This window comes from Homo sapiens, chromosome 13 (genome assembly GCF_000001405.40).
Source record: "Homo sapiens chromosome 13, GRCh38.p14 Primary Assembly".
Classification (NCBI taxonomy): domain Eukaryota; kingdom Metazoa; phylum Chordata; class Mammalia; order Primates; family Hominidae; genus Homo; species Homo sapiens.
This window is the reverse complement of record NC_000013.11, coordinates 53,844,645-53,861,674: the sequence shown is the minus strand read 5'-3', so window position 1 is coordinate 53,861,674 and position 17,030 is coordinate 53,844,645. Positions and strand designations below refer to the sequence as shown.

Sequence of the window (17,030 nt, the reverse complement as noted above, 5' to 3'; positions counted from 1 at the left end):
TATGCATTACTCTAGAATTTTTTTTATCTCTTGCCATTGTCTAAGAAAGCAAATTATTCAAAAGATCTTCAGTGTGTATGAAACACCTTTGTTGACTGCAAGGTGTGTTAAACGTTCTTTACCTGGTCCCGTTAACTGTGAGAGATTGTTTTAAGACATAGATCCTGTATACATAGTGCTAGAGAAATTCAAAACAGTTTCTCTACACTGCAAGATAATCCAAACTTAGTGATGTGGTTGGAATTACAAGATTAAATTCTTTCCCTTTATAACTTACTGGAAGTTGCAAGCTTATCTCTGAGGATAAATGAAAGCAATAGCTATATGTTTGTATATTTGAATACCTTGGTTCTTCTGGATTTTTTCAATGGACTTGGTATAGACAAGTTATATCTTTGAGATTTGAGTTTCTAACAGTCTCTTTATGCTTGAATGAAGGCATACAATCCATCACATGAAATACCTGATCTACACAGTAGCTCCTCCTTTTGATCAGGTCCAGCTTCCTATACTCAGTGATTAATTTTTATTATATTCATCTATACAAGCCAAAAATAGATTTTATGATGAAGGGTGCCAACTATTAACCAGAACTCATTTCGTTTTATTCCTGGCCTCTCGCCTAGGCTATATTCCTTAACTCCTTTGCAATAGTGTGTAGTCACATGAGCTGCATTCTAATCAATGGGATGTGAGTGGACATATGTGCCACTTCAAGGTCTACAGTTTTTCTACATCCACTAATTGAGGCACTTCCTCCTTGCAAGTTTCCATAGGAAGGACTGTAGAAGCAACCTTAGCACCACTGTTGAACAAGACAGAACTTCCTTCAGTGGGGAGTCCTGAATGAATGTATGGAAAAGATGCAGCCTCCTGCCCAGGACAAACACATAAACAAGAAATCAGCTTTACTCCATTTCAGCCAATATATATTTTGGGAGTACTTCTGATATTGCACTAACTTAGGGGTTATTTGCAGGAAATTTTATGACTTGGCCAAAAGGAAATTTTTATTTGGTGGTTATGAGATCATTGATTTTGGGTGTATTTCTACTATGAAATCTTCACTAATAAACATTAACTGGTGGTTTCATGAGTTGGACAAAAACACCAGAACAATAAAAATGAACATTCTACATGCTATTTCGAGTTGTAATTTCCAAAATGTTTGTTCTTTCTTCATTATAAATAATATACAAATTCATAATTACATGCATATACTACTATGATTAGCTAATATCTCAATGTTTAATATGCACATTAGGCAAGGGTCATACAATAGTGAATATAAATTCATGTTTTCAAAAGCATTCTTGATCATTTTAAATTTCAAAATTTAGGCCAGTTATCAGCTCTGAGAAAATTATTTCATTTATCTTGAAATACGACTTACAAAGAAATCATACTAAAACTAAAGTATTTCTGCCATTTTCTCATTGGTTTCTTATGCTTGTATGATTAATATCATTTCAATTGGAAATTTTCTTTGCAGGAACATTTGTAAGATGAATTTATTAAAATGAAATATAATTTATAAATCCACTCATATGGTCACATGTAAATTTCAATGGGTAGCAATACAATGAGTGAATAAATAAGTGTAATGATGTCAATCACTCTTCATTGTAAAACCTCTCCACTTCCAACAAGATCCCTCAGGTACTATGTGGGACAGTTGACTGGTTGTCTAAGAACTTTTGAGGATACTAGGATTAACATTAAATAGTATTAAAGTTTTATTTCATATTTATATGAAAAATGAATATAAATAGATATTTTAATATTTCCTTTCTGGGAAAGTTTAGATGTCATTAAAAAAATTCAAAGGTTTCAAGACACTTTTAGTCCAGGTTTATAGTTTCTTTAGCAACATGGTACCTCAAAAAACAAACCATGCTAGGCACAGTTGCTCACGCCTGCAATCTCAGCACTTTGGGAGGCAGAAGTGGGAAGATTTCCTAAGGCCAGGAGTTTGATTGAGACCAGCTTGGACAACATAGTATGAGACCCCATCTCTACAACGTTTTCTTAGTCAGGCATGGTAGCACACACTTGTAAGTCCCAGCTACTCTGGAGACTGAGGCAGAAGGATCACTTGAGCCTAGTAGGTTGAGGCTGCAGTAAGCCTGGATCACACTACTGCACTCCAGCCTGGGCAACAGAGTGTGACTCTCTCTAAAAAGAAATAAAAAAAAACAAACAAAAAAAGCCCACATTCTTATCTATTTAATTCCTATCAGTTTCACGTACTAGTAACCACCCAAAGTTCTTTGCCAGACATAGTTCTAAATTCTATTTTATTTCTTTGTTCTTAATCACTCCCCTCCCCATCATGCCTTCTACTTTCTCAACTCAGTGTCAGAGACCTTGAAATCATCTAGAACAATTGGCATTGATAGGATGATAACATCTTTTATCTGATCTTTGCTGCAAGTTTGGATCTTGGTTCAACTGAGAAATCTTAGTGGGTGTTTGTCTCTCAAAGCTGCTTCTAATCTTATCTCTCACTCTTTTAACTTCAGAGCAACAGCTTTGCCACCCCTGTCAGGCCTTTGATATCTGAAATCCCCTGGGTACTCTCACCCCTATTTCTTCCTGAAACTACCCAATTCTTGCTTGTGCTTATCTCTTTAAGTACACTGGCAAAAAGGAGCCAATCATAGCCAACATAACCTAACACTTTGGTTTTTCTAATTATTTCTAATCATTTCCATCTAATCATTTCCAGGGCTACAGACTTGGAGGTATTTAGTTTACCTTGCAAGTATCTCATGAGAGTTTTGCCAAATATTTTATAACTGCATAACATGAACCATAAGCTTCTCAGTCTCTGATATCAGTCTCTGTGCCATCTGTCTCCTAATTGCTAAACCAATTCTATGTATTTAGCAGAACTCCACTTCAATGCATTAGAGTAATACTAACTACTGTAATAGATAAAGCCCAAATTTGAGTGGATAAATTCAATGTTTGTTTTCTACTCATTTTTTTTCTTACTTATCTTAATTTAAATAGGTAGTAGGGCAAGTTTGAGGAAGTGAAATTATCAGCTCCACACGGTCATCAAGAAATCCATGGCCGGGTGTGGTGGCTCCCACCTGTAATCCCAGCACTTTCGGAGGCAAGGCGGGTGGATCACGAGGTTAAGAGATAGAGAGAATCCTGGCCAACATGGTGAAACCCTGTCTCTACTAAAAATACAAAAATTAGCCCACGTGCCTGTAGTCCTAGCTACTCCAAGGGTGGGGAGGGGTGGGGGAGGCTGAGGCAGGAGAATCACTTGAACTCGGGAGGCGGAGGTTGCAGTGAGCCAGGATTGCACCACTGCACTCCAGCCTGGTGACGGAGTGAGACTCCATCTCAAAAGAAAAAAAAATAAATAAATGGAAAAAAAAATCCACGTTCCTTGTATCTGGCAGTTCTAACTTGGCATCCTCTCCATTCAATTGGCACCTGAAGAAGAAAGTGATTAATTGCATATATATGGACCATACAAAACCTTGGTATGTTACTTTTCTTCCTGTTTCATGGTAACATTTCTCAGTGTCCCTTGCAGTTAATCTGCATGTCCAGAAAAACTGAGGAAAATTTTGGAAAATAATTATTCAGCTTCTTCAATGCATATATGATTGAGATAGTCTCCAAACTTGTTCCCTGCTTTTACTTTTTCCTTCTTGTAATTCTATTCTAAAAAACAAGAAGCCAGGCATAATGCCTTGCACTTGCTATCCCAGCAATTCTGGTGGCTGAGGCAGGAGGAATGCTTGAAGTCAAGAGTTTGAGGATTAGGGTGAGTGACAGAGTGAGAACCTGTCTCTTAAAAACAATGCTAACAGTTTTCTTTAAAGATAAGTCAGATTGTCTCATGCTGCTGCTCAAAACCCCAAAATAATACCCCATTTTATTTGGGGCAAAGACAAGGTCATCACAATGGCCTGCAGTGCCTTACATGTTCTGACCCCATTACATCACTTTGCTCATCTCTACAAAACTCCCGTCTCACCCAATCTGCTCTAGCCACACTGGCTTTGTAAATGTTCCTCAAACAGGACAGCACAGCCTGGCCTTAGGATACTTGTACTGTCTATTCACTCTACCTTGAGCACTCTTCTTCCAAACATCTGCATGGCTAAATTCATTATTTCCTTTAATATGTTGCTCAACTCTCGCCATTCCAATGAGACCTACCTTCTCCAGCTCCCCACAGCTAATAATCGCTGAACTTCGGAATCCTATATGCTTCCTGTGGTCTTCTGAATAGTTCCTGTTCTCCCCACTGCAAGACAATCAATAGGATTGTACTTTCTCATTGGCCCTCTTGTTTGGTTGAAACTACAAGAGGAGTCCTTGCCATATTTTGTATGATAATATTTGTAAATCTTTATTTTAGATGAATTTGGTGCAAGTTATTTTTTCTTGAGTACAACAGGGTATGGTTAACTTTTTTTCTAAAAATGTATACCTTCATTTATTTCCTGAACTCTGTCTGTAATGATTTGCATTCTTTTGTCCCTGCTGTTAGTTGACATCTACCGTAATATAGTCATGTCTCTCTAGTTTTGTTGTATTTCTTTTCTTACCTCCTCTTAATTACCCCTTTTGTACCTCTAGTCTCTAGTCTCTGTCTCTAATACATAGAGGTACCAATTTTACAACCCCCAAGGCTTGTCAGGTTAAAGATTAATGAGCAGACTATGCCCAAAGGCTTTGGAAAGGTTAAGCATAATTACAAATGGGTATTTTATGCAATGCTGGAGATGTGCAAGCTGTTTTTCAAAAAAGGGCAAGATAAAAGGTAATGAAACTTATGGGATTCATGTCAACTATTGTATTTCAGAAAAAAAGGTTTCTTTAAAATGATAAATTAACATGCTAACTGGAAGAGGTTGTTAGATCCTGCCCTGTTTTATTCATGATTATAACACATGCACACACACACACATTAACATATAACTGAGGACAATCACAGGTCTGTACTATCATTGACTTTTATTTTTTTTCTTTGTAAGAAAAAGCAACTTTTTCGTATTTAGAGTAAAAAGAAAAGTTATAGTTTGAAATAAATACATTAGCTGAGTATTGCTGTTGGAAAAATTAAACAGCATTCAGAGAAGAAATACGTAGTTTCCACTTGAAATTTTATAGCTTACCATGAAAAGAACTACTTTCCATGGAAAAATAAAGATTCTTTAGAGATTTAGTTACACAATTACTGTGAAATATAAGATGAACATCTGGCCATCCCAGCACCATGAGGATGGTAGTAGGATTATAGTAATTAAAAGAAATCCAGTCAGTGTGCTTTACTAATTATAAAGTGTTACCAGGGTTAAAACAGTCGTGTTTAGAAATCAGAAAGCAAAGCTTGTTGACCTGATTGGAGGTGGTTTTCTCCAAAATGTTTCAGAACAGGGGACTATGCTGGAATTAACTTTGCTAAAGAAAAAAAAAAAAAGAATATTGATCTGCAAATGCTGAGTTAAAAAGTGATATTTTTGCTGAAAAAAGATTAAAGATTCAAAGTTAATTCATTTCCTTTAAAGTGTTATTTATGCTCTGCCTAAGGGCAGCTCCCTCCCTTTGTCCACTACCTTCCTTCACTTGCTTCATTCAATGTCTTTGCAATTACCTCTCATGCTTACAGCAACATTTTTCTCTCTGTACAGAATCATTTCCATCAACTTAAGAACATGAAAGCTTTTATCTCATTTGAAAACGTGAGAGCGACAGGAGGCAGCCAAATGCTTAGGCGGATGGGGAAGGGTCCCCAGTGAAACTCCACCTCCAAGCCAAGGACAGTTTAAAGCCTGAAAGGCCAAGCTACAAGTTAAATCCTTAGACTGGATTGAGAATCTGTTTCTCCATTTGACATGTTTTCTCTGATTAGTCCCCAGCCTTCCCCTATTTCTCATATACCTACCCTTTCCTAATTGACTTTCTACACTGCTGTGCCCACGTTTTAAGAGTTGTCTTCACTGTAACCTTTTTGGCGTACTCAAAAATAAATCAACACACACTCTCCATTCTGAGTCCAAAGGCCCCCACCCAGCAACAAAGAGGGCATTCCTGCCTTCCGGTAGGCAGACCAACCCCACATGCCTCTCTGCTGAAAGCTGTTTCATTGCTCAATAAAGTTATTCTCTGTCCTCTTCACACTTCAATGTCCATCATATCCTCATTCTTCTTGGGCATGGCACAAGAGCTCCAGAACCACTGAACATGGGTACAAGCTATAACAGGTGAGCTGGGGAACACCAGTGTGGCCGATGAGGGCCCAGGTAGGGTGTCGCTGGCTGGGAAGTCCCAGGCTTGCAAAGTGACAAGAAAAATCCTACATGTAAAGGAAAAAATAAAGCACCTCAATCATGACTCCGTTATTCCTTTATACATAACCCCATTTTACTCATTTTCTTAATAGTAAAATTTCTTGAAGTACTTGTCAAGTTTTTCCTCTTTCTAACTTCTTGCTTCCCAATTTCTTTTAAGCTCACTACAATTAGGCTTTGAAATCACTCCAAATAACTGAAAAAAGCTATGGTCAAGGTAGCCAATGATCTTCTGAAATCCAATATTCCATTCCAGTTCTTAATCTTTGGCCTATCATGAGCATTTGGCATATAATTTCTTCTTTCTAAATACATTTCCTTCCCTTGGCATCCAGGACACCCACAAGTAACTGGTTTTACACATATCTCCCTGGTTGTTCCATTATATTATTCTTGATAGCTCTTATTCTTTCCGAGCTCTTAACGCTGTTTAGGAATGCCCCAAGACAGTCCTTGAACCTTTTCTCTCCTCTATCAAAACTCTTCCTTGATAAATTAATCCAGCTTCATGTCCTTAAGTATCACTTATGTGCAGATGACTGATATGGCAATGATTTCTACTGTTGATCAAATACCAATGTTCTCCCTCACATAATCCAGATCCTTTGTGGTGCAGTAAGTCCATTTCATTGGACTGGCTATCACTAATGCGTGATGTCAATCTCTCCTAGGCCAAAGTGAAAGCTTTATATTGAGAAAGTACAGTCCTGAGATGGAATCAACTTAGACATCTGAGTCAAGAGCTTAGAGGTGAGCTGCTTTAGGGAGAATGTTTGGATAGTAGACCTTGGATGAACAAAAAATAAAACTTTTATCCTTTAAGTGCAGAGTCAGCAATTTTTTCTATAAAATGACAGATGATTCATATTTTAAACTTACAGGCTATATGGTCTCTATTGCAACTACTCAGCTCTGCCATTATAGTAAGAAAGTAGCCATAGACAGAGAGTAAATGAATGAGAGCGGCTGTGTGCCGATAAAGTTCTATTTACTAAAACAAGTGCTGCGCTGGATTTTGCCTATGGACTGTTGTTTGCCAACACTTACTTTAAGCCACTGAGATATTGGGGTTTCTTTGTTATCACAGCATGTAGCCTAGTCTATACTTATTAATAAAACTTTCAAACTTATGTTTTTATTTCAGGCCTCCAGGGACAGGGAAGTCAGAAAATTTGAGAGGGTACCTAGGATGTGATTTTTTTATGACCCATAATTTTATTGGTCACATCCAGACTTCATGGCCACAATTAATACATGTGTTTATATTGTTCATATAAATCAAATATATATATTGATTTTGTTTTCTTTTTTGGCAGTGTAATGTTTGTATAGATTAGGTAGCTACATAGACTGAAGGCTCAACGTTGAATAACAAATTATTACAGAAAAGTAATGCTAAAAGTACAGGAAAGAATATTGTGTATTTAGAATCTGACCTGTGGAAAAATCTAACACTTGAAAACTAACCTGTGCCACCTCCTCTACAAAGGCTAAAGGGTGAATTGTGAGGGTGCAATCAGATAGATAATGAATAAAATATTTCTATTACCAGCCACTCAGAGGATAGATAATCATCAATGACAACTATCTGCTCTCCCAGAGAAAGTTGGGATTCTGCCCTTATAGCCACAGTATTGGAAGTAAAGCTGAGCAATGATTAATATTGAATTTTTCAAAGGTGAACATAGTCTAGAACAATAGAACAAGTTCCTTCCTTTACTTTTCTGGAGGGTATGCTATTAAAGCTGCTTTCAAAGATATGTCTGCTCCACTTCGTCCCACAGAATAAAAGTCTGCTTTTGCATTTCAAATTACCATGTAGGGCTACCACTACTAACTCAATTCAGACACAACCCTGGATACAGGACCATGATTTTGTGATGGCTGAAGATGACAGGTTCTCCTCAAACATGTTAAGTCCAAAGCAGGAGTTCTCCAACTTTCAAAATCCATGCCTATTTAATAAACATTTTAACCTCCTCTACTCCTAAATTAAAAATATACTATTTTAGGGATATGTTAAGGATTTTTCCCCATGTCTTTAAATCATCCTTGGTAATGACCACTCTACTGTTGACACAGAAATTCTAAACTTAAACCTGCAACCTGTTTTACAAGACTAACTAAACTAGACATTCAATGATATTGGGGATCAAAAGGAGAACTTTATACAATTTAGCTCTATTTTGAATAGTTTGGCAAGTGCAGTTATTAGGTGTTCATGACACTATCTCATAACTTCAATATTATGAAATTGAATTGGGAAATATCATCTATTTTTTGAAGATCAAAACTATTTAGAAACAAAACTAAGAACTTCTACTTTCATCTGTAGTTAATAGTTTCTTTTCATGTGCTTATTAAGAAATGTTGAGACCATAATTCCTTTATTAGTAATTTTGTTTCATTATTCAAGCAATACCATGATAAAGAGAAAACGCTATTAAAATAGATAAGGAGAAATTGTTTGGAAACTTTTTGACCACCTTATATCCAGGTGAGAATGCATTTACTGAGACTTTCTTACTGAGTAGACTTCAACACAAATTATGTCTACAAAATTACAAATATTGGAGAAGTCAGTTAAGAAACTAATATTTTAACAGCTTGCATAGTTCTTGTCCCTAAACTAAAATTTTTCTTTCCTGCTTGAGTATTTTGCTGGTGTTTTCCTAAGAATATTTCTACTAACTAAAAGATTTTTCAATTTAATAGTCTTTAATGGTACAGCAAGATGTTGTTCATTAAAGGGAGTTTATTTTCCTATTAATATAAGACAGATTAATGACTAAAAATGACAAAATCAAAATAAGAATAGAGAATAGGTGTATACAAAAAAATAAGAAAGCCTGAAGAGGTGGGTTATAACGATTACTACAGCTTGGGTAAATACAATACCTTGGAAGGCCACATTCAAGCTACAGGATAGAAGAAAAGGGCACATGCCAGTATTTATGCAATTCACAATGTTATCTCATGTGGCCTTCCCAACAATCTGATCAGTATTATTTTTTCCTCCTACAGAGAAACTAAGGTTCAGAAAGTTTAGGAAATTTTGTCCAAATTCTTTACATCGATAGTTGAACTTGTCAGTGACATAGAATCCCGTATGGCAGTACTACAAATCTAAATGCTGTAATTCATTCTCATAAATTTCAAGTTTAGTGCTTGGTCTGTGATTTTCATAAAGTCTCCACAATTTACCCAAAGTTTGAGAAATACTGTAGACAGCAAGTAGCAATGGCAGGGTTCCAAATAAATTTTTCTGTGTCCATATAAGAACTGTCTAGGTCTCAACCAAAACTAGCATTAGACAGAAAATAAAATTGATGTAATTTATAATCTGCTCATTTGAGCATTAGCATTGGACATGATGTTAATTAACCTTGGACATTAGACCTATCTCCTACCCCCTATTTTTTTTTTTTTTTTTTTTTTTTTTTTTTTTTGAGACACGGTCTTGCTCTGTCATGCAGGGTGGAGTTCAGTGGCACCACCACGGCTCACTGCAGTGTTGAACTAACTCCAGGGCTCAAGCCATCCTCCTGCCACAGCCCCCTGAGTAACTACAAACATGTACCACCACACCCAACTAACTTTTTTTAAAAAGTTTTTGTAGAGATGGGGGTCTCACTGTATTGCCCAGGCTGATCTCAATCTCCTGGCCTCAAGCGATCCTTCTGCCTGGGCTTCCCAAATTGTTGATATTACAAGCATGAGTCACTGCACCCAGCCTGTCTTCACTCAAGTGAAAGGGAAAGTATTCCCTGAGGTCCAGCACTTATTGTAGGTTTCCATTTTACACAGACACCATCTATACTAATTCATTTCATTACTACTTTGCTATACATTTAAATTTAAGTAGTTCCAAAGTTTTGTTTGGTTGCAATATTGGAGATAAATAGAAAATGTGGCTTCTGTTTTGTCCAGGGAAGCTCGAACTGCCATTGATATGATTGCTTGCACCAAGGAGGCTTACAGAAGCTGAAGCTTTGAGGTTTTATGGTTTTACCTATTCCCCCATTGCACATATTGAATTCATTAGCACATAGATTTAGAACCCCGGCTAATCATCAAAGGTAATGCATTGATGCTCTGTGGTCAAGTAAATTCTGCTAACAGAGGTTTTTATTTTTTCAGTAATTATTTATTGAATTACTGAATTTATCGAATTGTAATACCTTATATTTTTCAAATGAGAAAGTGGGCATGCATTTTTCCAAACAAAACCACTTTATACGCTTCATGATTCCAAAATTGTTCAAGCAAAATTTGCAATTTTAAGTATACTAGGTCTGGTAAAGATAAACCAATAAATAAAATAAGAATATATTTATATCTGTGCTTTCCATACCTTGCAAAAAAAATTTACTTTCTTTTTTTAAAGAAAAGTAATAGTTTGTTTTAGTCTTCCTTTAAATTTATAAATCAAAGCCCTCATGATCATAGAGTTCAGCCTTGGATTTATTTCCCAATTCAACAAGCACTTACTGGACACTACTGTTTGCACATTTCACTATTAGGTATTTTGGGTCTTTCAAAGGTAGACAAGAAGCGTTTCCTGACCTCAGAAAATGTATAATTCACTCTCTTAGGTCAATTTAGTGGAAAAGTAGTAGCCAAATAACTTTTTAAAATTCCAAAAACTGTCTGATAAATATTTATAATATGGATCTAAGGAATATTCATAGTATGGATCTAAGACAATTGATACATCCATTTCACCATCAGAGATCAGAGCTGGAACTGTTCACAGTATTAGATCAGGAAAGATCAGAGATGGTGAAGGAGTAGCAGCAGACAAAGGGGCAAGCATGGAGACCAGACCTTAAACAACAGACAGGGAGGGTTGCAGACAGAAGCCAGAGCCAGGGACACAGGAAAATGGTGGGCAAGGAATTAGTATGTGAGTACAAAATGCAGAAAAGAATAACATGCATAAGGAAAAGGGAACCTAATTTTACATAAGTGATAAAACAGCTTACTTCTAAAAGGCTAACATATGAGAGATTAATGTTCAGAAAAGCTCTACTGACAAATCCTCAAAGAAAAAATTAAAAATCTGCCACATTATTTAGGAAAGTGATCATTCGATGAAGCGCTCATTTGCTGTTGCTTGTTGTGAACTGGTCTGTTTTCACAATATAATACGACAACTGGGAAGAGCCGTTTTCAGGAGAGCTGAGTTCCAGTTCCCTCTTGTCGGTAGATTTCAGACATATGTGTCATAACTCCTGTGAGTTTTAATTTTCTCCCCTCTAAAATAGTTCCAGGCAAAGGACAGTTTGGGTGTAGAGTGAGATGAGAGATTTTAGTTCCAAGATTCCATAACATAGCAACATATAAACAATAGCACAGGATCAGATAGGAGAAGAAAGTGGAAAATAAGATAAAGGCATTGTGCATATGTGCACAGGCCATAGACCAGACAAGGAGAGAAAGTTATTACATGATATGCCATGGAAGAAGCAAGATTTAATCTGGTAACAAGACTTTTAATTGTTTAGGGGGAAATGTAAAGGGAAAGGTATGAGAAGAAACAAAGATACAAAATGTGTTTTGGCAATTGCAGTGGTTCAATGTGGCTTAAGAAAAGAGAACTTACAGGGGAAGAAAAGCTAATCAAAATTCAAAGACTAGGGATGGGATTCATGTGTTATGGTCGAGGACTATTTTTCTTTTCTAACATGACCATATCTATGATTTGGGGTGGAATCTCATGTATGTGGTGCTAGTGTCACCTCTTCTAGTCCAGACCTGTTGTCTCCAGCCAATCAATCATGGCTCTCTCCCACCCAACCTCTCAAAAGCCATCTCAACACAGGCAGCTGTTACCAATGCAAGAATATGTGCAGAGAAGCCAAAACCTATTTTCTATTTTTACATTTGAGAAACTGAGTGGATAGCTGAGGTAAAATGGAGCCAGAATTTTATCATTGGACTGGGAATCTGAGGAATGTAAGGAAGCAAAAGATGAGACCGCTATGGATGCTTTGCCACCTGCAATATGAGACACATAAGGAAATAGGACTGTAAGGCATCATCCTGGAACATTGGAATACTGGTAGTGCCCATATGAGGAAAGAGAAAGTTCAGGATGCAGATGAGAGGGGGGGATTTTATTCGGGCTCCTTGAATTCAGGTGCAAGCAGGGCATATTCACTGGGACTGGACCTTATGGCATGAGAAGAATTTGAGTGAACTGGAAAAGGAGTAAAAACATTTTAGTAGGAGTAAAAATATAATCAGAGTGGGAAATCACTGTAGTATCTACAAGAGTAGATAGTAAACTCAGAGCACACTCTTCCTGATAGTAATGTGGGGAAAATGAGGCTCCTAACCAGGTGGGGTTGATAATGGGATGCCCCCTAGTCTCCTCCTATTCTCCCAGGGCTTGACCATCTTCCCTTTTCATCAACATATTGAGAGTGGCCAGGGAAGCAGGAGTTCTTGTTTAAGCAGCGTGACAAATAAAGACACAAAAGAGTCAGTGTAAGTCAAGAAAAGAAGAATGCATATATGGGAAAGGCCCATGCATAATCTCAGCCTGCCTAATTCCCTAGCCTTAGTCGAGGGGTTAGTTTATGGCATTTGCCTTTGATATGCATAATGCCTGCTAAGTTATACTTCAGTAAAATATTCCACATTGTACAAATAAAACAGGCATTGTGTAGGATCCAAGGGCATTTTTCTGAGCAGTAGTGTTTTGTCCTGGTTTTGTATTTAATCCTCACAATGTGGAATAAACCTGTGGGCCTCTCAGAATCAGGGCCCGTCATTACTGTAATTGGAGACATCTGTTAAACTCAGTGACTCATCTCTTTTCGTCCTCAATTTACAGAAAGGAAAAGAGGGCTTTCCCATGTATGTCCGAGGGCTCATTAACCAAAAGTGTTCACGTATTGAAGGTGCAGAAGCAGCCTCGTTCTTCACCTGAATCAAGCCCTCAATCCACAGTGAGGCCACCTCTAGGTAATTTTGCAACATTAAACCCCAGAAAAGGTACATCTGGTGCTATACTTTCTAATTAATTGTAATATCCATATTTGAGGGTTTTTTTGTCATTGTTAGGTCATGAAATGAAAGTACAGAAGCAAATAGAAACAATAATTGATGTGCAATCAGTAGCTAAGGTGGCTACATGTGAAGTTAAATGGCACTGTAGTAAACTTATTTTTATCTTATGCCTTTGTTTGGAAAATAGGGTGAGTAAAAACAAAAGCACCCGACCTGTGGGGTAGATCGTTATGGTTGTACCTGTATTTCAAACATGGGTGAGCATGCGTCAAAAGCCTTATAATAACAGACACGAAGCAAGCTGCCCTGATGCTGATCATCCCTATGGGAGACAAACTTATAACTGGTCTCCTCAGGGTAGAAAAAGAATAAATGGGCTTAAATGCTATTTGCTGAGGCAAGGTCACCACGGCTGAATAGTAATTGAAGATGCATAACAGTCAACAGAGACATTTGGTCCTTCGTTGTCTGTAAATTAAGGTATTAAATTTGTAAGATACTGTTCTTAATTCACAGTTTTAATATAATTGTGTTTACTCAATCAGAGTTGTTCGACATTGTAATTTCTAAGTTCTAATCTGTTTATTTTAAAAAAGGCAGAGCAAGCATTGATTGTCCTCATTAAAGTTTGAACAGCAGCTATAAAAGCAGCATGGATGGAACTGAACATCAGCTTAGTGGGAAAAAAATAGGAAGTAATGGAACCAGGCAATGGAACAGGAAGTTTTTACACCTGTTCTAAGTCACTGTCTTAGTCTGTTTTGTGCTGCTATGAAAGGATACCTGACACTGGGTAATTTATACAAAACAAATTTATTTCTCATAATTCTGGAGGCTGGGAAGTCTGACACCGGCCTTCTTGCTGCATCATCCCATGTTGAAAGGTGGAAGGGCAGGAGAGCATGTGCAAGGAAAGGGGTCCAAACTCATCCTTTTATGAGGAACCCAGTGAAAACTAAGCCTCTTCCATGATAGTGACATTAATTTATTCATGAGGGTAAAGTCCTCATTACCTCATTATTCCTTAAAGGTCCCACTTCTCAACACATTGCACTGGAGATTAGGTTTCTAACATGAATTTTAGAGACAAATTCAAATCATAATAGTCACCTCTTAGGTTATTTGCATAAAAGGTTCAGCAAAATGTGTGTGTGACCAGGTGGTAGACGTCAAAGTTGCTTACAGCTAGAAGGATTTATCATAAATGGCTCAAAGGCAGCAGTAGGGAGAGCAGAAATTCCTAAAAGTCTGCAAGCTGGAGAAGTACTAGGGTAAGCATGTAGGAAAAGTGCCACAAACGTTTAGAAAACTAGAAGAAAAGCAAGAAAGAAAAATAAGTGTGGCAGTTGGCCTATAAAACCAGTTTTAAGTTAAATGCTTTTTTTTTTTTTCTTAAGAGTCTTGCTCTGTCACCCAGGCTGGAGTGCAGTGGCGCAATCTTGGCTTATTGCAGCCTCCGCCTCATGGGCTCCAGCGATTCTCCTGCCTCAGCTCCCGAGTAGCTGGGATTACAGGTGCTCACTACCACACCAGCTAATTGTTTTGTATTTTTAGTAGAGATGGGGTTTCACCACATTGGCTAAGCTGGTCTTGAACCCCTGACCTCAAGTGATCCACTTGCCTCAGCCTCCCAAAGTACTGGGATTACAGGCGTGAGCCATCATGCCCAGCTGCTTTTCTTTACCTTTCTCTCAAAACATTCTTTTAAAAAATCATTTTATTATGACCTGGCAATTTGATATTCAACTTAAACCAATCTAATCTCTGAATTAGTAAATAAAATAACTGTTGTGACCTATTGTGTTACTATGAAATTAGACGTGTGATCAGTCAACAGTCCAGGATGAATGGAATGTTACAGTTCATAATAACTTTATGTTATCATGGACAGTTAATGGCCTTTGAAAAGAAACACTACTCAAGCTTCAAATTCCAGCTGAACTCTGCATGGCATAAGGGCAGGAGAACTTCGACCAGATGAGTTCCTTTCACAAGCACATGTCACGCTGTGTGGATCCGGCTGTGGAAACAGTTTGCCAACCTTATCTTCAGAAACACATAGTCAGTGTTCAGACAAAGAATGTCAAAATAATGCTTAGTTTTTCTTTGGGTGATTCAAAGTGCTCTGGCCAGAAAATAGGCATAATAACCTTTCTGGCATGTTTCTCACTAATTGTCCTTCAAACCGAGAGAGGTATTTTCAGAAGATTGTTTGCTTGTGCTGAAAGATCAGGGAGCAGTGAACAGTGTGAAAGGTACAGATTTGGACAAAATCATGAGTGATATACTACATGAATGAAAACAAATCCATGCCTGGCACTGGTATCTGCAAAAAGCTCCGTATATCTATTATGTTATAGTAGAAAACTGTTATGGCATTCTGAGCATCCATGTGCAAAATCAAGATTTACATATAATGAAGTATATCTGTTTCCTATTTCTCCCTCTATCCAGTTAAACTTCCAGCGCTAACTTGAAACCAAGAAGATAAAAGCTTCAAAAATCCAGGACCAGAAAAGGGGGGATAGAAAATGTGACAATCCTTGTATGGATATATGGAAGGAATACAAAAAGAAGGGTCGCATATGAAAGAGAGTAAGGTGGCAAATACAGCTCCAATCCCTGTATTGCCTGCATCTCCTACCTCCCTTCTAGACAAAACAAAATTACTGGCAAAGTGATAATTGTAACAAAATATCTCATCAAGGGAAGTAGATGTGGGCTCTAGAGATGAAACACCACTTTGTATCCTGAAAAATGAGAGTGAGTAATGATTGGTAGGCAAACTCGTAGTGAAATAAGCATGGTAGAGAAAGACTAGCCTCTGCAAGCTGGGGTGAGGCAGAACTGAGGCAATAAGAAAATGACTTAGCAAAGTCTATTTTTCCCAAACTTCCTCTGCAGGGTTCATTTATTAAAAACAAAAAACAAAACTGTCAGTGGAGCAAAAACAAAAGTATTCTGGAGAAGGATACAGTGATTCCTCTGGTTTCTTTACTTCAAAAGTACTTAAAGATTATTTTTCTATCAATCTTAATATTCTTCTTTCTCCTTTAGTACTGAGATTTTGTTATTTATAGTGATTGTAGTAGGTTTTGGTTTGACTGTAAGTCTTTTTTTTTTTTTTTTTTTTTTTTTTTTTTTGGAAATGACCTCAAACCCTCTTTGGGAATTGACAAGCATTTTAAAACAAAGTCCAATCTTGGTACTTTTTAGATTTAAACTACGAGAATAGAGATGAAAATAAATATACATACTCATTTACTTAATTTATATTATACATCCCTGTGTATAAAAATACATACTTTATATTAAATATTTGCATATATATCTTATGACAGAAAGAGGGTGAATGTCTGACTCATCAAAAATAGTACATAAGTCAACTATTTGTTTAAGGTTAGCGACTTCTTTCACAGGAAGCTTAAGGGAGCTTAAGGGAATAAGTATAATGCTTCTAGCAGAAACAAAAATTAGAATGGTATTTACAACGATTCAGATTCTCCGAAAGTGTGAAGAACAATAATGCAAAATGTTTAGAACTGAAAGAAAATAAAGATTTTAAGATAAAAGCTGTCTTCATGTCAGTGAAATAAAGCCATGTGTGCTAAATTTTTTTCTGATTATGTACATTCTTCAGAGGCCTCTGGGGCAAAACAGGTGTCTGTAGTATAGAAACTATGTAGA

The 17,030-nt window shown here is 37.1% G+C and overlaps 1 long non-coding RNA gene across 1 annotated transcript in view; it reads right to left on the bottom strand.

Moving 5' to 3' along the window:
• Positions 1–17,030, bottom strand: part of LINC00558 (long intergenic non-protein coding RNA 558) — a 60,701-nt gene that overhangs the window by 14,445 nt on the left and 29,226 nt on the right. The window lies entirely within an intron of this gene.